Genomic DNA, 24,008 nt, shown 5'->3' on the forward strand with positions numbered 1-24,008 from the left:
AGGATCTAGGAAAAAAACCATTTAAGCAGGTGATCAAACGTGCCAGCCTCTGGCATGAGGAAAGAAAGGCAGGCTCTCCAGGTGCGAGGGACGTGGTCTGAGCTCTGAGCTCAGAAGGCAAGTCCCCAGTGGTGGTGCCTTCCTGCTGCTCATCCCCACGCCCGGCCCCATCACCCTAGCCTCTCCCTCTTACCCCCAGAACACGTGCCAAGCCTCCTCCTCCCATCTGCCTGGTGAACTCCTCACCTTGTTGTTAGGTTAGTTGAAAATGTCAAGGCTTCAGCCAAGCTTGGCTCTGACGCCTGCAAGCCAGACCCCCTCTCAGCACAAGGGGAACCTTTGAAGAGGCACATCTTCCCTGGAGACCTTGTCCTTGTGTTCACATCCCCAGGGTCTAGCAGAGGACGTGACACATAGTTGGTGCTTTCTGAATCAGTGAATGAGAAGGGAATCGAGATGTCGAGCCAGTCTGACAGAACGCGAGCCAGGCCTCGGTACCCAGGCAACTGCTCAGCGCCGCCTGCTTCCTCTCGCACCCACAGTCACGGAGCAAAGAGGCTCCTGCTCCCCTTACCTGTTGGCAGTTTGGGGGGAATCTCCAACATACCCCTGCTATGGGGGGTGGGGATTGGCTGCTTTTGAGTAGGAGGGACGCTCAGGCTCAGGTGGCTCTGAGGAGGGATGTTCCTTCATTATCTAACCTAAGCATCTGGGGCCCCTTGGCCATCCTCAGTCCACCAAGTCTCCCACCTGCTGAATTCCACAGCCAAGCCCTGCTGGGCCTGCTAAGGACTATGGAAGAAAGAGAAAACTGCCAGATGACAGAGGGTGACGTCTTTCATTGGATGAACACATTCTCGAAAAACAGCTCACCAGAGCCTCTGTGCATTTACTATCGCCACTATTTCTTTTACATGGTTTACGGTGTGTGAACCCCATTGAATAAGATCAGAAAAGCAAAATAAAAAGTGTAAATGTTCGCATGGGGAAGCATGTTTTTCATTATTTGCAAAAAAATAATGATTGAAAAATGTAAGAATGTAAAAGGATCACTATAAATATTAAAAATAATAAGTTTTCTGTGACATACATAGTTTAAAATAAATAAACAAAAGTTAATTGCCTTATCATATGCCAATGACAATCATTCTGATGATAAAATGGATATAAGACTCCATAGAACAATAGCAAAACCACAATATGAAGGACCTAGGAATAGTTACCAAGAAATGCACGGGAAAAGTATATGAGGAAAACTATAAAATTCTACTAAGGAACATAAAAGAAGATTTTAATAAGTGGAGAGGCATACTGTTTTTTCAGGAAGACTCAATATTGTAAAAATGACAATACTCCCCAAATTATTCTTTATGCTAAACATTATCCCAATAAAATTCCAGCAGAATTTGTGTGTGTGTATGTGTGTGAGGTCAGTTTTGGAAATGAATAAAATGATTTGAAATTTCAATATAAAGGATAAACATGCAAAATAGTCAGAAAATTACTGAACAAACAAAATATGAATAATGAGAAGAAGTTTATTGTACCATATATTAGACAAAGTATAGAATTAAGACAGTGCTGTAATTGTGCAAATACAAAGAGATCAAAATGTAGAAGAAGAAATGCAGAAACGATACCCAAGTATGCATAGCAATTCAACATGTGCTTCGAGGTGGTATTCGAAGTCAATGAGAAAAACAAACTGTTTAATAAATGGTGATGCGACCTCTAAGTAAGCATTTTTGAAAGGAGGGGGCAGAATTGCTGGGGTGTCACCCAGGTGTCCAGGTATGTATTTCACAAGGAGAAGAGTCGCAATGAAGAGTCTGCCTTTTACGTAACGGTCATTTTATTATTTTTAACGTTTTTCACGTTTGTATTATGAATTTGTTGACTGTCTTTGGAGTCTTTGTATGTATTTGAGAGTTTTCAAGCAGATGGCAGTAAAGAATCTTGTTTGAACATAAATTAGCATATTATGGCAATTTTTCATCAAATGAAAGTCATGTGCTTAGTTCAGATATGGTCGATATACATCATCCTACTTAAGACTTGGAGAGAAAGAACAAGCTCAATTATTGAAAGATCTTGTAAATCTAGCAATATCAAATATGACCAGAGCCACTGAACAATGACAGCCTTCTCTACTGATGTATTCATCTATAGACATATTTTTTAGAAAAGAAAAATAAATAAAATATAAACAGATCTCTTATCAGTCATGTCCTGGCTAAGACTTTGAACCTTTCATGTTGTAGTTTATATCCTTTGCTGTTTGCATAATTTATCACGATAATATTGCTAAGTTCTCAATTTAAACTACAAATACCTTCCGTTGCCATGAATCACTATGTAATTACTAATGTTTATTTTCTATTAATAAGTTATTTTATAAACAATAATTTTTGCTCCTCACCTCATTGTTAGGTTAGTTGAAAATGTCAAGGCTTCAGCCAAGCTTGGCTCCGACGCCTGCAAGCCAGACCCCCTCTCAGCACAAGGAGAACCTTTGAAGAGGCACATCTTCCCTGGAGAACTTGTCCTTGTGTTCACATCCCCAGGGTCTAGCAAAGGATGTGACACATAGTCGTCTTATCATTGAGAAATAGTATATTAACTCTTTTTTCTGAGAAAAAGTCATCTTTTTCTTATTTGTACAAGGGCATCCTATGGGGTAGAAGAATCCTAGTGCACATAACATATACCCAAATTAAGTCCAGATGTATCCTAGCTTTAACACAGAAAATAAAGCCCCCTATGAAGCAGAAGAAATAAATGATCTTGAGAAGGAGTAGGACTTCTAAGCTTAAATCAGAGGGTGAAATCATAAAGAAGAAAAAAGATGGAAAGATTTAGCTAGGGGGAAAAAGCATGCATATAGCAAACAAGTAGAAATTTAAAAATAAGACAAGCAAAAAAAAAAAAAAAAAAAAAAAAGCAAACATCTACAAGGAAAATGCAGACATGTGACAGACCAGAAGGGCAGATCAAGGGGAGTCCAGAGAAGGAGCTGGTAGCCTTATGCATAAAAGCTTCCTCCAGATCAATTGGAAAAGGTTAACACTTCATATAGAAATGGTCAAACACATGGAAATGGAAATAAGCAGATAGAAAGATGTTAAGAATCACTCATAATCAGAAAATAAAAATTTACCTGAAACGTGTATGCCTATTAGGTTAAAAAGAATAAAAATATGCAAAAATGAAACAATGCAATCATATGTAATGTTGAATATGATATGAGATAATAGACATTCTTAAACTGTCACGGGGGGAAATTTTTAAAAATATTGTGAAGGAGACCATTAAAATGTAGAACAAACTTCAGTAGTGTGCATACTTTCAAATGTTGCTTCCAATAATCAAATCCAGAAATTCATGGAAGATAATATAAAAGCAATTTTTTCTAAGTTGTTTATAAGAGGAAAAATATTTTAAACAACTGGAACTTCATATAGCAGAGAACTGTTCAGCTAAATTGTCAAATGTCCATAAAATAAAATACTACATAACTGTTAAAATAATGATGCAAATTTATAGTGAACATTCCACAGCCCCGTCTTGCACTACTGTGTACTTGCATACAAGCACAAAAAACACATCAACTCTGGCGTTACATCCACCAAAAATCAACAATGGATTTCTACATAACTGTGAATAGTTTAATAATGAGCATGGCTTTATTTTATAATCAGAAAAACCATAAAGCTATCTTTGAAGAAAATATTTTTGTTCAGATTAAAATAGCATGCCCTTCTGAACAACTAAAAAGTAGGGGTGCTCAACAGCCCTGTTAGGCAACAAATCTGAGAGAAGATTCTGGGATGTCACTGCATGTTTAAGGAGCAAGTATGTTTCCAGTTGTAGTCGGGGGGTCTTGCCTGGCCCAACCTCATGCATAGTAGCCATGCCAGGGACAGCCACGTGGAGGTGGAGGATGGGGATGATTGGGATGAGATGTCAGCTGGGGCTATACCTGGGCCAGAAGAATTGAGCCTTCCATATGCATTCCTGGGGCAATCCCTATGAGAGGGGGTTTCTGTCTGAGGGGAGCTGGCCCAGACCTCCAGTTCTGCCCCCGGTTGGTTCAGAGTATTGAGATCCTGACTCCCTCTCTCCCTCCCTCCTGCCTCACCACCAACGTTGGCTGCCCCCTGAGCAGAGCTTGGCACAGGAGTCCAGACATGTTGGGGACCAATGCCAAGATGTGCAGCATCCCTGCATCTGGGAAAGTTTCAGGTCGGCCTGGGTGAGCTGGATTTAGACACTGATCTCTGGACTCCCTCAGTGTTCTGAAGAGGCAAGATGGGTCTCAGGCTGGTGAGCTTCAGCTGTCTCTAAAGTTCTTGAGTACTTCTGGGGCAGCTGACCCTGAGCCCTGCATGTCCAGGAGATGAGAATCTTGCAGGCACTGCTGTTTAATGAGTGAGAGGGGGCAGGGGGGCCTTTCATTAAAGGAATATCATGAAGAGCCTAATACTCAGGACTCCCAAGAGCAGAGGCCAGCCCCTTGAGCTCATCTTGACTCCCCACCATCACCTCTACCCAGGGACCTCCGGCAGCTCAGGAGAAAGTGGACTCAGCAGAAGATGGGGTGGGGGTATAGGGGGAGGGGGAGGTGGGGGTGGCTTCACACTCACCCCAGCTGGGGGCAACTAGCCTGAGAAATGAAATCAGGTTCATTCCAAGACCAAACTGCAATGCAAGGCTTTCTCTTTTCACAAAGCCACCAACCCCCTAAACAAGGACAATGAAGGAAGAGAGAGCCGTGTTTAGCTGCCCAGTGTGTCTCATTTCTGCAGCCATTCCGAGCTGTGGACAAATGAGCTAGGCTGGGACTGGTTGGCATGGGCCATCTGGAGATGCCAAGAACGTGTGCTGATTTTGTCATCTTTCTGCATCTTTATAGTGTTTCACTGGTTGAAATTGTGGTGATAACATTATTTTGAATTTTGGAAGAAAAAAAGGAATTGAGACTGTATCAATTAATTTCAATGAAGATTGCAGTCTGTGTGATAACACGGAAAATGCTTATGGTAAAGTGCATAGTGAAAAAAAAGCAGAATTAAAATGTACTTATGTAGCCTGAACACAGCCACCTAGACAAGGCCATGCCGCTTCTGGTGAGTGGCAGATATTCCATAGATGGAGTATAAGATAAATGAATATGTTTATTAAAGGGATGGGTGAAAAAATATCCAAAGAAATGTTCACAAAAGACTGCAGGGAAAGATGGAAAATAATTGTGAGGAGAAAAGAGAATGTGGGTGATTCAAACATTTTTGTTACTTTCCAAATTTTCTTCAATCTCTATTAATTTAATATTTAAAAATCATTAAAATAGAATCAGATTCTAAACCAAACTTCTAGCTTAGAGGTAATACAGGGCTGGAGGAAAGAGTTAAACTACAAACATTAGGGAATAATTAGACAGCTTCAGAATGTGGGGTGTTCCACAGACGACTATCTTGGGTTCTTCAAAAAGACATTGTTATAGAGAAAAAGGAGGGAGGTGGACTTTTCCCAACTAAAGGAGACCAAAGTGACATGACAGCAACCAAAAGCAAATGTGGATCTAAATCGAATCCTATAAAAGGCATTCTTGAGATAATTAGGAAAATGTGACTTTGGTCTGGATGTCAGATAATATTATGAAGTTATTTATAGTTTTTTCAGTGAGATAATGTATTGTGGCTGTGTAGACAAATACACCACTTTATTCTTAGGAGATTCAAGGTGAAGTATTTATAATTTAAGTATCATGAGGTTCCAACTTTCAAGTAGTACAAAACAAAATATGTTGCAGAAACCTCTACAGAGGGAGATAGTTAATATAGGAAAATGTGACAATCATTAAATTATGCATTCGCATTATGTTTTCATCATTTCTGTTTTTTGAAATTTTTATAACAACACATTGGGGAACATTTAAAAATAAATATATATGCATACGTGTATGTGTGTGTTTGAATACATACACACATGCTTGCATACATATTCGCCTGAGCTCTCCAGGTCATTGCAAGAGGGGTGGACCCCCAGAAGCCATGGCTGGGGTGTGACTGGCTTAGGTGGAGATGCTGAGGGCTGGGATCACATGGATCAGGCCGATTTCCTCATTGCCTGCTTCAGCACCTCTTTGGGGTTCTGTGCACGCAAACTGCCCTCCTGATGGTACCTCTCTGTGCACCTAAAAGCCCATAGGCAGCCCCTGCATCTCTGGGGACAAGGAGCCTGGAGAACCAGTGCCAGTCTACCCCTCCGTCTCCTTAGGGGCATCTTCCGAAACAAAGAAGGTAGCCATTGCGCTCCCTGGCACGTATGGATGTATCCTATTCAGGACAAGGTCCACACGGACATTCAACTCCTCTGTAGCCTGCAGTAGAAACAACGGGGAATAGTGCTGGAAGATGGGCAGGATAACCATTCAGAGGAGCAACTGGCTGGGGCCCCAAAGACCCAAGGGCACCCCTGAGGTAAGGTGGTTCTGTGGAAATGCGGCTGTCCAGGGCTAATGAATGGGACTAATGGTAGAGAGAGATGCTTCAGTTGTGGGGTGTACAAGGCACAAGGCACATGACATTTCAAGTAGATGGAATCAGAGAATAAGCATTGCAATTTAATTCCATGATGCAATTCTATATATTCTTTAAAAAATATAATTCGTGTGCCATAAACTTAACTCTCACAGCGTACAATTCAGTAGGTTTTAGTATAGTCACAATCTTCTGCAACCATCACCACTATCTAATTCCAGAACATTTTCCTCCCCGCAAAAAAACCCTCTGTACCCATTAAACAGTCACTCTCCACTATTGCCTCCTTCCAGCAACCACTAATCCACTCTCTTGGTTTTTTTTTTTTGAGACAGGGTCTCAGTCTGTCACTCAGGCTGGAGTGCAGTGGCGCGATCTCAGCTCACTGCAACCTCTGCCTCCTGGGCTCAAATGATCCTCCCTCCGCAGCCCCCCACCAAATAGCTGGGAGTACAGGCATGAGCCACCATGCCCAGCTAATCTTTTTTTTCTTTTTTTTTCTTTTTGTAGAGGCAGGGTTTCACCATGTTGCCCAGGCTGGTCTTGAACTCCTGAGCTCAAGTGATCCACCTACCTCAGCCTCCCAAAGTGCTAGGATTACAGGAACCAGCCAGCACACCTGGCCTAATCTGCTTTCTATCTCTATGGATTTGCCTGTTCTGGATATTTCAAATAAATGGAATCATATAACACATGGCTTTTCTGTTAGTTTCTTTCATTTAGCATAATGTTTTCAAGGTTCAGCTGTGTTGTAGTATGTATCAGTAATTCATTCCTTTTGTTGTGGCAAAACAAATCACATTTCATTTATCCAATCAGCAGTTGATGATCATTTGGATGGCTTCTACTTTGGCTATTATGAATCATGCTGGTATGAACCTTTGTGTAAATGTTGTGTTTGTGTGTAAACATGCATTCTCAGTCCTCTTGGATACGTACCTAGGAGTGGAATTCCTGAATCATATGAGGAATTGCCAGATTTTTCCAGGGTAGCTGCACTATTCTACATTCTTACCAGCAATGTATGGGGGTTCCAGATTCTCCATATTCTCACCAACATTTGTTATTTTTTGTCTTTTTCATTATAGTTGTCCTGGTGGGTATGAAGTGGTTTTGATTAACATATTTCAAAAGACCAATGATTTTAAGCATCTTTTTGTCTTCTTATTGGCCATTTTTATATTTTTCTTTAAAGAAATGTTTATTCAAGTCTTTTGTACATTTTAAAATTAGGTTTTTTGTGTTTCAATTGCTGAGTTGAATGAGTTCTTTTTTTAATGCTAGATCCTTATAAGACATACAATTTGTCATTTTTTTCTCCCATTCTCTGAGCTACTCTTTCATTTTCTTGATAGTGTCTTGAAGCATAGACAGTGTCTCAAAGCATAATAGTTTTTGATGAAGTCAAATTCATCTCCTGTTTCTTTGGTAGATATACTTTAGGTGTCACATCTGAGAAACTATTGCCTATTCAAAGGTCATAAAAATTTACACCTATGTTTCCTTCAAAGAGTTTTATAGCTTTACATTTTACTTTTTGTGTTTTGGTCCATTTGAGTTATTTTTTATATATGATGTGAGGTAGGGGTCAAAATTAATTATTTCATATGGATATCAATTTGGCATACCATTTGCCAAAACGGCTATTTTTTTCTCCATTGAAATGTCTTGGCACTCTTGTTGAAAAATCAATTGACCCTAAATGTATAAGTTTATTTATGGGTTCTAAATTGAATTTCATTAATTTATATGTCCATCCTTATGCTAGTATCAACCTATCTTTATAATTGTGCCTATGTATTAAGTTTTAAAATTGGGAAATGTGAATCCTCCAACTTGGTTCTTCTGTTCATGATTGTTTCGGCTATTCTGAGTCCTTTGCATTTTCCATGTAAATGTAAGATCAGCTTGAATTTTAATAGGAACTTAATTCATCCTTTAGATTGACTTGGGGACTATTAACATTTTAACAATATTAAGTCTTCTAACCCATCAACATGGGATTTTTTTCTATTTTTTACGTCTTCTTTCAATGAACTTTTGTAGTTTCCAGTGTATATAGTTTCCATTTATTTTGTTAAATTTATCTCTAAGTATTTTATTAATTTTTGATGCATAAAAAGTAAAATTAAAAAAGCTTTTAGGTTCATCATCAGTTTTCCATAAAAATATAGCAATATAAAATAAAACATAATTGTATACAACTACACAATTGTGTCATCTAACAATAGAGATAGTTGTACATTTTTCTTTTCAAACTGAATACCTTTTAGTTCTTTTCCAAGCCCAATTGCCTTAGCTAGAACCTCCACCTGAAAGCTGGGAGAATGGACATCCTTACCATGCTCCTGATCTTAGCGAGGGGTAATCTACCATTAAGTATGATGTCAGCTGTGGGTATTTCACAAGTGCCCTTAATCATGTGAAGATACTCCCTCCTGTTTCTAGTGTGTTGAGTATTGCTTTTTTTTTTTAATCATTAAAAGGTTATATACAGCCTTTTGAAAAACACATATTGGTGGAATTTTTTAATGCAGAAAAATGAGTCCAACACAATGTTAAGAATATAATTTAAAATGAAAAATGTTATCTAGTGGACTTCAATTATAAATGGAGAAAAGCATAGGAAAAAAAACGGAAAGAATTAATAGTGTATCTTTCCAGATGGTAAGATGATGGATGCTCATTTTTCTCTTCTTGAGAATTTCCTGTATTTTTCAATAAGTGAACATATTACTTTTATTATCAGGAGGGACAGAATCACTAAAAATCACAATAAATACAATTATTTTGAATTTGAGGGAGGGGTAGTGAAAGGAGGGAGAGGGAGGGAGAGAGAGAGAGAGAGAGAAGGAGGGAGTGCATGCAAACACACGCCAGTGATGAGGTGAAAACTAGCACAATGTGTGTGCTCAGGGCAAGGAGTTACGAGGCTGCATTCTCAGTGGTTGATGGCAGGTGTCTTAGTTTCTGGGTGAGAAAATGAGAAAGCTCTGGAGCAGCCAGAACCCTTGGGGATGGCTTCTTGGAGGACATGGAGATGCTCTTGAGAGTGAATATTCTAAGAAGCAGCAAGCCATGAGCTACAGCACAGAGGGGAGGGTCCATCTGTGCTCAGCAGCCAGAAGGCTCCTTGGGGGGCTAGAGTGGGATCCTATGTGAGAATTCCTGTGGGGATCAGCCTGTGATGGGTCTGCTTAGGCACAGGGGTGTGAACTTGAACCCACAGACAATAAGAGCCATGGACCTTTGTTGTTTTGGATGCCTTGGTTAGTTGAGTCCAGAAAACCATGGGTTTCCATAACTTGAGAGGACTGGGAGGTATTTGAGTCAGTCCCACCCACTCCTGCAGGTAAAATGACAGGAAGTGCCAGAGACCAGAAAACAATGCACATGCACTTTACTGTCTTGGAGGTAAAGGGTGAGGATGGGAGTGCCTTGAAGGCAGGGTGTCTTTTAAGTGACTGCACGTTTGAATTCCCACCGCAAACTACCTGGCCTACGTCATGTGATCAATAAGGGAAATGAAATTGCTGGTCAGCTTTAGGCTATGATGGCCTCAATCCCTTCCCCTGCCCAGCTAAACATTGTAACTCATATTAAGAAGAGTTGTCTGGGATTATTTCTCCACTTGTAGAGTTTAAATCTGTGTTCCTTTTAGTGGTGGAGAACACAGTTGTTGAGGACTTCAATATCTCCATTTCTCAAAAGCCTGAAACCCTGACACAATCTCTGCTGCAGAATTGCAGCACAGAAAACACGTTTTGAATAAATAACTGGATGAAAGTCCCTCAGAAATATGGGCTCAACCACCCAAAGTGTGGCTCAGAGCTTGGACTTAGTAGCTCAGGCATCCTTGTTACCCAGCTTGCAATGAACCGATCTGCAAAGTTCTATAAACCATCTCTGAATATTGAACCAAAAATCTTTGTGAAAGTTCTTCAGGAGAAATATTAGCCACTGCTAAGTAATTTACTTTTCTTTACAATGGACTCAACAAACTTTATCTGTAAAGAGCCAGATAGCCTCGGGGCATATTCCACCCTGCCATGGTAACGTGAAAACAGCCATAGATAACCCATAAACGAAGGGCCGTGGTGTTCGAACAAAACTATATTGGTGGACACTGAAATTGGAACTTCCTGTAACTTTCATGTCACCAAATATTATTCTCCTTTTGCTTTCTTTGTCAGCCCGTTTAAAAATGTAAAATCCATTCTTACAATCAGGCTGTATACAAAGAAGTGGTGTTGGAGCTAGGTTTGGCCCACAGGCCAGCCTTGGCTAATCCGCTTTAAGAGATGAACTTGAGAGAGCAGAATCAACAGCCACAGTACAAGCTCGTTTGTCTGACAGGCTCTCTCTTCCCCAAGTTGCACAATCATGGGACTCTCATTTCAGGAAGGAAATCAGTGATGTTTTCAGTAACTCAACTTAGGGTTTCCGCATCACTCTATCTCTAGACAGTCTCCGTTTTGTTGTTGTTGTTTGCTCCAGTATCCCTTTCTCTTTCTAAATTCCCAGCCAATGTTTTGCTCCTTGGAGGCACACGTCTTGCCGTCCCGAGTCAGCGAACGAGCACACCTGTGACCCACCGCACGGGCGACGAAAACCGGAGACCGGGAAAATGGCTTCCCTCTTTGAGTTCCTGAGAAAGAGCAAACTTTCTATGTGCTTCTCTTTAAAATGCAACAATGTAAAGGTCACAGAGGAGGAGATGAAACTCAGAGTTGTAATAAGGCAGGAGAAATAAAAAATAATGACAGAAATAAATTGTCATAAGAGGGGATACAGTTATGATTTATTGTGATATTCTACAAATTTGGAGGTGATTAAAAGCCACCTAAAATTCACATTAACAAGTCACATAAAAATGGAATTAAACTAGTGGGCATAATGTGGCAGGATATAAAGAAAAATCATGACAGAAATAAATTGACAGAAGAATGATACTATTCAAGTTTTACTCTGTCGTGCCACCCTGACAGGAGCCTAGTATTTTAATTTCAGAGTTGTGGTTGAGTTTTTGGAGTTCATTAAAGGCCCGCATTAAGAATCTCATAAAAGTGAGGAGAAATTAGTGACCATAATGTGGCAGAGGAAATAAAGAAACAATAATGACAGAAATAAATTGACAGAAGAATGATACACTTAATGTTTCACTCTGACACCCTCTATTAATAGGGCCGCTGCAAGCTGGAACAAATGTCATTCATATTTTAGCCAAAGTATACCACTAATTAGGCCAGCTCTCTGCACTGGAATTAGATTTGAGATCTCTCACCTTTAGAGTGGAACCATTTGAATTCTAAAGGAAAGAGCTGGTGACAGAAAAAAAAACTTTCTACTTGGGCTTTTCTAATGAGATAAAATTCCCCCTTCTCCCCATTTCGCAGCTATAATTGCTGATTATGTTGTTACACAGCCGCGGCTCTCGGCTCTGTCCTCCCGTCATCATGATCTAGTCTGGCATATCAGGAAGCTTCAAACGCAGACTGGAGTGGTTTGAGTCTAATTTAGCCCTCATTTAGGCCGCAGGTACCACACAAGGTAAACACGGCATTGTTATAATTAATTACCCCTCAGGCCGCGCCAGGCCAACTCTGTTTCAGCTGACCCTTATAATAATAAGGCTTCCGGGCATATTGTATTTCTTTTGACAGATTAATTAGAAATTCAGCCGTGGCGGTACAAAGCAACTCAGTCATGAATATTTAAATGGCCTGACACAAAAAATCATGAAAGGGCTGCTGAACTACATGACGGACAGGGGATATTAGGCAAGTGACTCTAATCAATAATCTCTTGATCTCTTACATATTAATACACTGCCTGCTGTTATTAAGCTCCGTAATAAGGAAGGGGAGAGAAAGTTAGTGTAGCTCTGCTGTAGGCCCGGCAAGGCCCCCAGTGATTACGCTAACTGACTGCGAAAATGCACAGAGGAGCCCGGCCTCAGCCTCTTCAATCTAATCCAATCTTAAGGAATGGCAGCTCTGAGTAGCACCGACTGGATAATTATTGGCGCTGACAAGGTGAGGGCGTTTGCAGGCAAATGAGCGGGGAAGCAACCCTCAGTCCCCAGACCACCCAGGGCCCGGGCCGCGCTGCTGCTCCGTGTCGGGCCGGCGGCCGGGGGGACCCTGCCCCGCGAGGCCGGGCCGGGGTGACTGTCGCGGGCCGGGGCTGGCCGCGCCTGCTGTCGGGGCGGCTCTGACACCGCGTCGACCAGATCGGCTCTGGTCCCTCCGCTCGCCTCTTCCGGCTCCAAGGCCGCTGCGTGAATTAAGTGGCAGAGGCGGCTGAATATCATGTAAATTCATGACCGGCAGTGCGCGTCCTCCCAGCCCAGAGCGAGCCGCGTGCGTGCAGCTCCGGAGGCCCCGCCGGCCCACTTGGGCCCCACCCCTGTCCCCAGGCCCCAGACCTGCCGCTGACGCCCCAGGGGTACCCAGAGCCCAGGGAGCCAGGAGCTGGAGGAAGTCACGTGGGCGCTGGGTGGGTGCCCAGCTGGAAGGGCAGCTCCGGCCTTTTGGGGGGACCCTGGGCAGTGTGTACCCTAGAGGTCCCTGGGCCGTGACGGGCAGGGATGCCAGGCCCTGTGCACCACAGGAAACATGCAAAGCATTCTCGCAGGCTGCCAGTGCCTTGGGCTGACACTGGAAGGGAAACAAAAACAAAGCTGCCCCACACAACCTAACTTGGCCCAGGATCCCCAGCAAGGGTCGCCAGGGACATGGCTGCAGGGCGCTAGGAGGGACAGTTGCCACTTGAGGTCCCAGGCTGGGGCCAGGCTGTGGTCAGAGCTACTGGCCAGCTGGGCCCTTCTCTCTCAAACTTGAAATCCTCTGGAAGCTCCTGGAGAGAATTACTTTTCTTTATGCTGTGGGCACTCGGAACTGGGAGGCTGTTTCATCTGGGGTCTGATACTCCCTCCCTGCCTCTCCCACCCAGCCTACCGCACTTCTGCCTCTCCCACCCGGCCTCGAGGGAGGGCTTGCAGGAGGAGGGTGAGGAAGTTACTCCCCTACGTCCTGCCCGGGGTGGGCTACAGAGCACAGGCCCTGCAGGGAGTCTCTCCATGTTATGATGGGACGCATGAAGCCTGTCCAGTGCCCAAGACCCTCCCTCGATGGTGCAGGCCTGGGGACTCTCTGTGGGAGCTCAGCCTGGTGGTGGAGACTCAGGCTTTTTGCAAAGGCAATGGGATCTAAAAACAGGGACTATGCAGACTGTGCACGTTCGTCCTGAAATGTTCCCTTCAGCCAGAGGAACTCACCAAGCTCTGGAGTTTTAGAGGGGATTTTGGAGCTGTCTGACCAGGGCTGAATGGGGGCCGCACTGCTCTGGCCATACCTGGCTTTGCTGCCCCCATCATGCCGTCTGTAGATAGGGACAATAATTTTTAGAGACATCAGACTCAGGGCTGGCAAGAGAGAGGAGAGGGACAAAGTGGAGGAGCAGGGACAGACTCTAAGGCAGGGCACATAGAAGGAAACGTGGGAGGTGGCCTGCTGCCCACCAAGTGCCCAGGGGGCCCCTCCCAACCTCTGTCCATGCTCTTCCTGCTCCCACGGCCTGAATTGCAGGCCCTCTCCCCTCCTGAGAATGAGGTCCATGAGGTGTGTCCTCCTTCAGCTCTCTTCCACCAGCACTCTCTAGGGTCCGATGCAGGGCTGTAGCTTGGCTTTGTCCAAGGTCTTTCCTACTGTCTGTAAGACCCTCATTCATTCATGAAATACTCATGAGTATATCTGAGCACCTCCTATGCACCGGTGCTGGAGAAGAGAAACCATTCTGCTTCGGGGATAGCGCTGTCTGCCCAGCAGAGGACCCACCAAAAGGTGCCTGCAGAGGACTGGGAGTGGCAGCAGCAGATGCCACCAGATGCTGCCCTGCCTCAGGCCTTCCCTGCCCCGAGGCTCCGATGGAGCACGCCTTGGCATGCTGCGATGCAGGGCCTTGCTCAGTTTGTTGCATTTTTTCTTTGCAGTCGTTGCAGAACTATTTACTAACTAGAAAAAAATGCAACCACCACCAACCTAGAGCAAGCCTTAGGGTTGAGGACTTTGATGAACTTGATTCCTCTGCTTCCGCCTGAGAGGCCTGGAGCCAGGATTGAGAGAACCAGCTGAGAAAGGCAGAATCAACCAGTAGGAGCAAATGGCAAGATTTTGTTGTTGGACCGGGAGGGAGGAAGCAGAAAGAGAAGAGGCAAGAGTGGAGGCTCAAACCATAGTTTGGGAGGCCTGGGTCTGAGCTGTGAGAATAGACTAGAAATAGGTTTAAAAGAATATTTTGTTTATCTCACATTCCATTTCCAGTGGTTTTTGTCTTGGCAATGTCAACCCTTCCGTGTATTCCACTTCAGGAAAGTCTGACTCTCCTGTGAGTGATTTTTGTTTGCTTGCATTATTTTTGTTGTTGCTGTTGTTTTGGGTGGATATTAAAGAAGATAAATAATTTTCATGTCTATGTCAACACAGTGCAGAACGTTCGGGACAAAAAGCAAACTAATGAAATCCAGCAAACTTAGGAATGCCAAGCCATATGGGGACCAGCAGGCAGCAGAAATTGGTGACCAACCTGGGGATTGGTGACCCCCATCCTGTGGTTGTGGAGATTGAACCTGTGCTGGCCCTTGGCACATGGGCATCTTTTTCTGACTGTGGTGTCTTGTACTTGAGTTCTTTCCTGTTCCCAGTGGTGTGTGTCCTCAGGTGGCTCCAAGGCCAGCAGGAACTCATGCTTCGTAATCGGAAACTGGCACGATACAGTGCAGCTCACATGGGTTCTGATGGTGGCGCCAACTCTAATCTCTCAGAAGACAACCTACAGGGAAGGCCAAGAGACCTGCCCGAGCCCCCATGTGGCCACAGCATGACACCTACGGGGTGCACGAGCTTTGCCACCACAGTGGACGCCATCTCACTGAGTCTGTTTCCCTATCTACATGGGGACGGAGCATTTACCACCAAAGTTTGCCATGAGCACTAAAGGACACAACCCGTGGACAAACACCTGGAAGTGTGCAGCACTATTGCTGGTTCTCTTTGGTGGAGATTCCAGCTTATGGCCCACATCATCATCCACACCGGTTCCTCCCAGTGTGCTCAGGGCTTCCATCGCAGCCGCTCCCGGCTCCGTCTGCCTGACTCTGTTGGTTCTTAGTTGGCCTTGTGTTTAGCTCCCACCTTCCTCAACGGCATATCTGGAGCCTCTGGCACAGGATGACACCTGCTCCCCTTCCGGTGGCCTCTCTGTATCTGCCTCACCCACCAGGGTGCTGGGCACTCACCTGGACCGGGGGGGGCTCCTTGTACAGTGCTTGTCCTGTGCATAGCACATTGTTGAGATGGGGTTGCTGAATGCTGTCTAGGAGGAGAGACCTGTCTCCTTGTCTGCATCCAGGGACTTGCAAGAACAGCCCTTCTCCGGGCTGGGCTCAGAAAGGGAGTAGATAATTAAGAATAAAGAAAAACAATCCAAGGGTGACTGCCAAATGAAATACTCAAGTGCAAAACTTATAAGTCTTGTTCTGCTGCTGCTGATAATAATAACAATAATAACGGTAATGATGACAGTGATCGTTTTTGCTCTCCTCGTTTGGGTTAGCAGAACATTCATGAAAGGTGTAGTCCTGGGAACAGATTCGTTTACCTCCCTCTGTTTATTGCCAAATCATAATGAAGTGCAAGCCAAGAAGCAAATTCATTGCAAATTGTATAAAAGATTTGGGGCCAAAATGAAGCTGTTAAAAACCACATCTGTAAAAATGGTGTAATGATTATGGGTGGGTAAAAATCTGGCAAGAATTATTTTCTTAAATAAGGCGTAAAGGAGAACAGATGTGCTGTAACAGACACATTTTTTTTTTCAGTTTCACGAATTCTGTGAAAAGAAAAAAAATTGATCTGATTGATCAGATTATCCTATTTATTATAGTGCACCCAGGGCACCAAAAAATCCTTTTGTTTCAATTTCATCCCCTGGAAGAGGAAGGTGGGCCCAGGGAACTGTGTGAGCCAGCTTCACGGCAAAGCTCATTCTGCAAAGCTCATTCTGCCAGGGAGAGAGAAAGGAGAGTCCGCTGGGAAAGGAAGAAGACTTGGAGGCATATGAAGGTCTACAGAAGATTCAATGGTGGGAGGGAGGTGACAATGAAATCTAAGTAGAAAACCACAAACCCAAAGTATCACCAGTATTTCAGGGTCATGATGGAATGAGAAAAATGGCCAAAGACAAAGACAGGCAGTTTAAGTCTGGAAATAATTACATCGAGTGAAGACAACTGAATTCCATATTGCCTTGGTCAATGTCTGCAAAGGCAGTTGGGGGAGGTATTTGGGTTGGATTCACTTTTTGGAGCTTAGCAACATAAATTTGTTGTCACTGAACTATTAAACACAATGGACACATGTTGGCAAGAAGGGCCCAGCAGAGGCATGGAACTTATTAAGGGACAGCCTGTGAAATAATCGACTAAATGAGCCCACTGCGCAATTTTAACATCCCATGACAACACTCAATTGTCAAATTCAGCTAGAGTGTCCAGGATGCTACTAAAATTAAGCCAGAAATTCCTAGATTTATTCTCGTTCTTTTTTTTTTTTTCTTTCCCTCAGCTAGGAACAGGAAATGCCAGTAAGCTGTGAGAATCTAGTAAGAAATAAGAAACTGAGAAGCAAAAAGGATGGCCTAGCATTTTATGAGATTTCTGCCCTTAAATCTACAACGAATGTCTTTTACCTACCCTCGATAAAGAGGCAATGTGGGATTTTAATTGGACTTTTGGCTTTTCTTCATTTGATTTAAACCAAGGTAGAATTTCAAACAATAACACTGGAACACCTGGTTAACACGTTAGATGATATGTACAGTTGTAAATTGTGGTTTTAATAGTTGCTCACTGGGGGACTTAAAAGGGTCTCATTGTTCTGTTTGGCAGATATTAAAAAAAAAATCAGGGACTACTTGGGATTTAAAAGCCACGCACGTGATTCCAATGCCACTCAGCTCATGAAATTTAATCACTGGACCCCACTGGTGGCAGTTTCTACAGGGGAGACCCATGGCCACATGGTGGGGTTTTCAAGTTCTCCAAAGTCATCGTCCAGCTTCAAGTCTAAAGAAATCCATTCATTTCTTATTGCTAAGAAAACAGGGAAGATTTTTACATCTAAACACGAAGGTAAGGCTCTGCCGATGTATATGTGTGTGTGTGTGTTCATAGATGCTTCTGTTGGCGTAGCCTCCATTGTGTATTGATGTGAATTTTAAAGAGAAAGTGTATGCATGCTTTGGCTCAGCAGTTCTCTTCTTTTTCTTTGAAAAACAAGTTTCCCCCACACGCGGGCTCCAGCCTCCTTAGGGCTGCTAGCCGGTTTTCTTTTCCACCAGCTCTTTTCCTCATCAGCAGGGGGTGGCCCTGCCTGGAAGCCTGAGTGGGGATACCCCATATTTTAAAGTGACAGTTTTCAAAATGCCCGCGTGGCTTTTGCCCTTCTCTTCCAGCTGTGGCCCCCACCCTGCCTCTGTCTCCAGACCCGACCCTCAGAGGGCATGTGTATAAAACAAAGATGTCGGGCTCATTGCTTTCCTCTGATTGGAGCCGGGGACGAAGTGGAAACTGCTCACAGAGATGCCCCGTGTGGGGATCGCTCTCCACTGCCTCTTCTCCCAGCTCCAGCCCACGCACGGGACCCTGTCCTGGCCAGTCTGGGAGACCAGACCACCTCGAACTGCTCCTGGGCAGGAACTTGATGCCTGTAGCCCAGAAGGAAACCTTAGTGAGAGATGGCTAAAAAGGTGGGCATGGACTTTACAGAGGGCAGGAATGAGGCCATGACCTCTTTCAGACCCGTTATTTCAGGACAAGCCAACTAAAGCCCAGGGAATGCAGGGACGGCCTTCAGGGGCGGGGCTGGGGGTTGATCTCATGTGTTCCTCCCCATCCAGGTCCTGTGTGCTGGGCCTCATCACCCGGAGAGAGAGGCTGCGCCCGGCTTCCCAGTCCCTGGCATCCTGCAGGCTGCAGGCAGTGAGGTTCAGGAACAGGTTCTGACTTCCTGGCATTTCTTCTGGAAACTTCTTGGGACCCTCCTGTGTCTCCTAAAGAAAGGCTTGAGTCAAAGGGCAAGACTGCCCTACTAGGCAGGGGACATTCAGATGCCAGCGCCTCCCTGACTATGAAGGGACTGACAGAGAGGCTACTGAGTCTTCCTCATGACAGCCAATTGTCAGTTTTATCCCCCAACTCCCAGCCCCAGGCCTCACAACTAGTGGGTCTGCATTCCTCACACACAGTGGGTCTGCATTCCTCACACACAGTGGGTCCAGTTCCTCCCACACAGTAGGTGCCTGTTGCCTGGCAAGCACCAGTGCCCAGTGGTTGCTGAATGACTCTGTCGGAGCGCTCTGCCTTGCTCCCTGTCGGGGCCTGCGTCTGTCATGTCTTTTCCAGTTGAGCTTGCAGGGAAGGTCAGCAGATCCTCTCACATCCCGCTGAGACAAGAAGTTCGGCGTGCAGGAGCAAGGCAGTCAGACTAGAAGGGCAGCTCGTTCTGTGAGAGGTATTGTCGGGGTGAAGCTGCTCACAAAAGCCCTAATAGTTGCTGGACTGACCGCCAAAATTGATGTGACTTCCATCATCACAGCAGGGAAGGCCCCTGCACACCTGTGTGGCCTCCGTTTGCAATTCCTAGTTCCCAAAAACTACATCTCCACTGCCCAGCGTCCTCTTCCTGGCTGCCATGTGGAGGGAGATGTGGAAGCTCACCGAGGTCTGGGACCTGCCCGTGCCAAGCCAAAGCCCACCGTCCTGGGCCATTTTCACCTCTACAGAATTTCAAACATTAAAAAATATGTATTGTGTGGTTTAGATGTTTAAATTCTTACTGTTCGTTCTGTGTCTTAGATTTTGCTATGAGGAACTGAAGTTTTAATGGTGATGTCAGATGGAGAATATGTCTCCTTTTGCTTAAAGGTAGGCACAGCTTGAAGAAATGCCTTGAAAACATCAGTGCCTCATGTCAAGTTTCCACCATCTCCCAGTTGGGTGGTTGCCTCATGTCAAGATTCCATCATATCCCAGTTGGGTGGTCTCAGATAGTTTATTTGTTCTAGCTGAGCCTTCATTTCCTCATCTAAAAATGGGATAATAATGGTACTTTTCACAAGGTTGGGTGAGGATTCTGTCTGATATGTCTAGGAAGGAACCCAGCACAGAGCTTCCCTGTCTCAAGAGGTCAAAGAAGTTTGGATTGATGGCTTCCCCTGCCCTGGGGCACAGTTGGCGGGTTAGCAAATCGACAGAGAGGGAACCGCGGCCATGGGAGGAATGCCCCATCTCTCCTTTGGGAAGATGGACTTTTCAGTCATTCTGACCTAGATTCACCCTCTGAATATCTTTGAGTTTCAAGGGCTTCTAATTGGTGATGGATTTGCAGGCTCGTTCTCTCCAAGCCCCAGATCCTGGTTGACATTGGCTACAGTAAGCCATGCTCTCGGCTATAGAGTTTCCATAACCCAAGTCTCATTGTTTTTTTTCCATGAAGTTGAGCATCTGGTTGTCTGGGGACAGTCTATCTGTGAGAATTCCAGATAGACATTTTTGGTTTTTACCCAGCTGTTGGGTGTTATGTTGACACTGGTCTGGCCGCTGGTCCCAGAGGCCCAGGCTCAGGGGCTGTCTTCAGCATAAGGTTTGAGAGTCAACAAGAGTCATGGGATACTTGTGCAAGATGAGGGAGCAGCCTGAGCCGAGGCCTGTAGAGCCACACACAGGGAGCGTTTAGGAGAACAGCCACGAGCCCAGCTTGGATGAGCCGGGAGACTCCACGGTGGAGAGGGTCAGGCAGGAGACTCCATGGTCAGGAGACTCCATGGTGGAGAGGGTCAGGCAGGAAGCAGGGTCACATGACAGGTCAGGAAGGGGCGCTCAGCCACTGAGACCTTATCTGGCAGGCAAGAGCAAGCCCTTGGGGGCTTAGTGGGAAGGAGGGCTGGAGTGAGGGCTGTGGCTGGAAAGAGCAAGGAGGCACCTCCTACAAGATGCTCACCTGGCTCCTGCTGCTCTTGTCTGGGCCTACAGGACACAGGTTTTGGGTGGGGTGGCAGGTGGCCGACTGCCCTTGAAGGAAACCAAGCACCTGCCATGGAATCTTCAGGCCAGGACAGAGCCAACTGGCGCAGGAGGTCCACCTGCCCTGTCTGGTTCCTGACAAGGAAGAGAATTTTCGCTTTCCTATTAAGGTCAGCTAGCAAAGCAATGCTTGTCCTGTCTCAGGAGAGGAACAACTCTAGCCCCATTGCTCTAAGGGCAGCACAGGTATCTTCTTGGATTGAGCTGCCCCAATTCTGCAGGTTTAACTCAAAGTTCCTTGGGACCCACCTGAAGCAGATGGGGGAAAAACCACCTTTCAGGCCCAGAAAGATAAAGAATCTAAGAAGGTTCCAGTAAGACCTTTCGTGCATTTTGGCCAGAACAAATCTTATATACCGTGCAGGCACTGAAGGCTTTTCCATGCCAGCACTGACAGCCAAAGGACTTCAGAGGCGCCTGAGAGTCTGTGTGTAGGTGCATGTGTATATTGTGTATGTGTGCACATATGCATATGTGTGCATGCATGTAAGCATATATGTACACATCTGTGTGTACATACATGAGCGTGCACTTGTATATGTAGGATTGTGTGGGCTCGTCTTCATCTATTGTGTGTACGTGTGCTTATATGTTGTATTGTATGTATATGTGTGTACCTGCTTGTGTGCATTTAATTATTTTTCAGGTTTCACTCTTACAACCATGGAAGATTCTATGCTCAGCTTCCGGCGAGACTAACAGTGACAGAGGAATCACAAATACAGCTCAGAATGGTTTGTGCCGTGTTGTTTTCATTCCTACCTTATTTCTGTTGCACTGGGGGGCATTCACTGAGGGTCTGCAGCGTCTCATTCAGGCCTCCTAACTGCCTACCGGCCCTGGAGTGTCTGCAGGCATCTCCAGCTGAACCTCAGATTCCTCCAGCCTCTTCCCCTGACACAGGCTTCCTTGCCTTCTCACCCTGCCCCTGGCCACGGCTCAGGCCACACGGCTCTGGGTGCTGTCCTTAGAGTGCTTGCAGCTCTCCATCCCACACATGTCCCAGATCTGGCCCTGACATTCTATCCTGCTGCCATGAACCTAGCTCAAGTCACTGCCATCTTCCTCCAGCTCCACCATCACTGAGAGTCACTAACAGCCTTTCAGTGGGTCTCTGCTTAGCCTCCTCCCGGTTGCCCCACTCTCCACACCTCAGCTGGTGCTCTTGGACTGATGGTTTTCTGGGCATGATGCTCTGGAGATTCCCATGGCTCTCGGAGTTCAAGTGGCCCATCACAGCCTGGGTCTCGCTCCTGCCACACCCTTCAGCCTCACCTGCAAGCCAGGGTCACCTCTGTACCAGCTCATCACCCTTGAGTTTCTCTGGGCCCAGAATGCCTTTCTGCTGCCTTCTCCAGGCTGCTTCCTTCAACTCTGGGCAGAGAGGTCCTGCCAGGAAACCCAGCCATCCCTGGGATGGTCCCTAAATGATCCCTTCCTCCACAGCACTCATGGATGCCGGACACTGTGGCATTTGTGTCTGCTGTTGCATCCACCAGCACGACTCCATGGGGGCAAGGCATGGTCATGTCCCTTTGCAGAGGACAAGGCAGCCCCTGGCACAGTGCAGGGAGCTAGGGGACAGTCAGTGAATGGACATGTGAGAGCATGAGACCTGGAAGGTGGACAGTATTAGCCCATCTATGGAAAAGGTCACTGAGGCTTGTGGGGCCAGTGTCTTGCCTGTGGTCATGCAGCTTCCGTGTAGCAGAGCCTGGTCATCATCGGTTCTTCTACAAATCCAGTGGTCCATGTGACAGTGCAATGCACCATGTGAGCACAAGGATTCCAGATTGTTCTTCCTGCTGGTGGGATTCAACTCACAGGCCAGGAAGCCCATTGACTTCAGAAGCTATTCAAGTTATTCCTTCCAGCAGGGCCTCCTTGCCTGGCAGGAGGTCACCGCCATCTTTAATGTGTTTGTATACTGGCAGGTCCTCCGGGCTGTGCCTGCTGAGTCCCGATCTATCTGAATTGTCATATACTTACTTTACAAACCAAGTTATCAATCTGCATCTGACCAAGAGTCATGCCATTTTCCAGACAATTCAGCAATGGCTTCTGTCTCTATCAATCCTATGGCTATTTCCATGCAAATATTTTGGAAAAAAGTACTTCACTTTACTTGCCTTGTTTTGATATTCTCTCTTCCCTTGTAGCAAAAGAGTTACTTTTAGGCCTGCAAGGAAAATCTGCAATTTCCCCAACGCGGCAAAATTGGACAGTTGAAAGAGGATGGCCCCGAGGTGCTGTTCTTGGTGCAGCTGCTCTGGAGCTGAGCAAAGGGCCTTTGCAGGATTCCCTTCAAGGCAGTTAATGAATTACAACCACATCATTACCTCTACATGTTGGTTTTAAACACATATTTATTCTTCTCTAGCTCAACAGTTACACTCTGGAGTGAACCCAGGGCTGCTGAGCAGCTCTTTCTCCTCAGAATTCCTTTTCTTCTACTTCATAATCTCCTTCTTTCTCTTCCCCTTTTCTTCTTCTTCATGTCCTTCTCTTTTTTCACCTTCTCCTCTTTCTCCTTCTTTTCCTTCTCTTATTTTCTTTCTCTCTCTCTACTCTTTTCTTTCTCTCTATTATTTTTCTCTCATTTGAATCCTTTATTTTAATGAGGCTACACCTTCTCACCCGGCACAAGGTAACTACTCTGAAAATCCTAACGGGCACAAATGGATTCTTTAGTGTTAGAATCTGGCACAGGTTCCAATAAGAGCTTGGGTACCACTTTGCCAATTTCCTTTTCTTTTTTTCTTTTCAGACTCCTCCTAGGTGGGCAGGGATTGAAAGGAAGAAAGTGTGATATCGTCGTGCGCCTGTCTTCCTTTCTGCCCTCATTCCAGGCTTTCTATTCCGTGAGTGCAAAAGGAAACAGGATGCACCTGAATTACTGAACAGTACAAGGGAATTTAATTAAGAATATACACATTAGAATTTCAGTGGGATTGCCTATTTAATGTTACTTTATTAAGCCTTCTATCAAACCCTTTTTTATGTATATCAGTTGATATACAATTAATCTGTTCTCTTGTGAGAAAAAAAAATAGCACCTGAGGTGAATGAAAAGTGTCAGATGAGAATAATTATAAGCAGCTGTTCACTTGGAGCACCTCTGGCCTACATGGGGGATGCTGTGAGCTACCACTCCTCGCAACAGCCCACCTCATTAGACTTGACCTTCCCAGCTGGGGATTTCATTTGTGCTTTTTTAATGGGTTTGTATACGGCAAATCACAACACCTTATGAAGATGGAGTCTTTGTAGCTGTAACAAAAGGGAGCATGCGAGTTTACAAAAAAGCTACCGCTCCCGCTGACTGG

At 45.1% G+C, this 24,008-nt stretch overlaps 1 long non-coding RNA gene across 1 annotated transcript; it reads left to right on the top strand.

Moving 5' to 3' along the window:
- Positions 1-17,360: 17,360 nt before the first annotated feature.
- LOC107984185 (uncharacterized) lies at positions 17,361-23,882 on the top strand. Its single transcript, XR_001747311.2, has 3 exons — positions 17,361-17,730; positions 18,498-19,524; positions 21,329-23,882. It is a non-coding gene; the product is annotated as an uncharacterized LOC107984185 (long non-coding RNA).
- The last annotated feature ends 126 nt before the right edge of the window (positions 23,883-24,008 follow it).

The sequence above is a fragment of the Homo sapiens genome, chromosome 10 (assembly GCF_000001405.40).
Source record: "Homo sapiens chromosome 10, GRCh38.p14 Primary Assembly".
Taxonomy (NCBI): domain Eukaryota; kingdom Metazoa; phylum Chordata; class Mammalia; order Primates; family Hominidae; genus Homo; species Homo sapiens.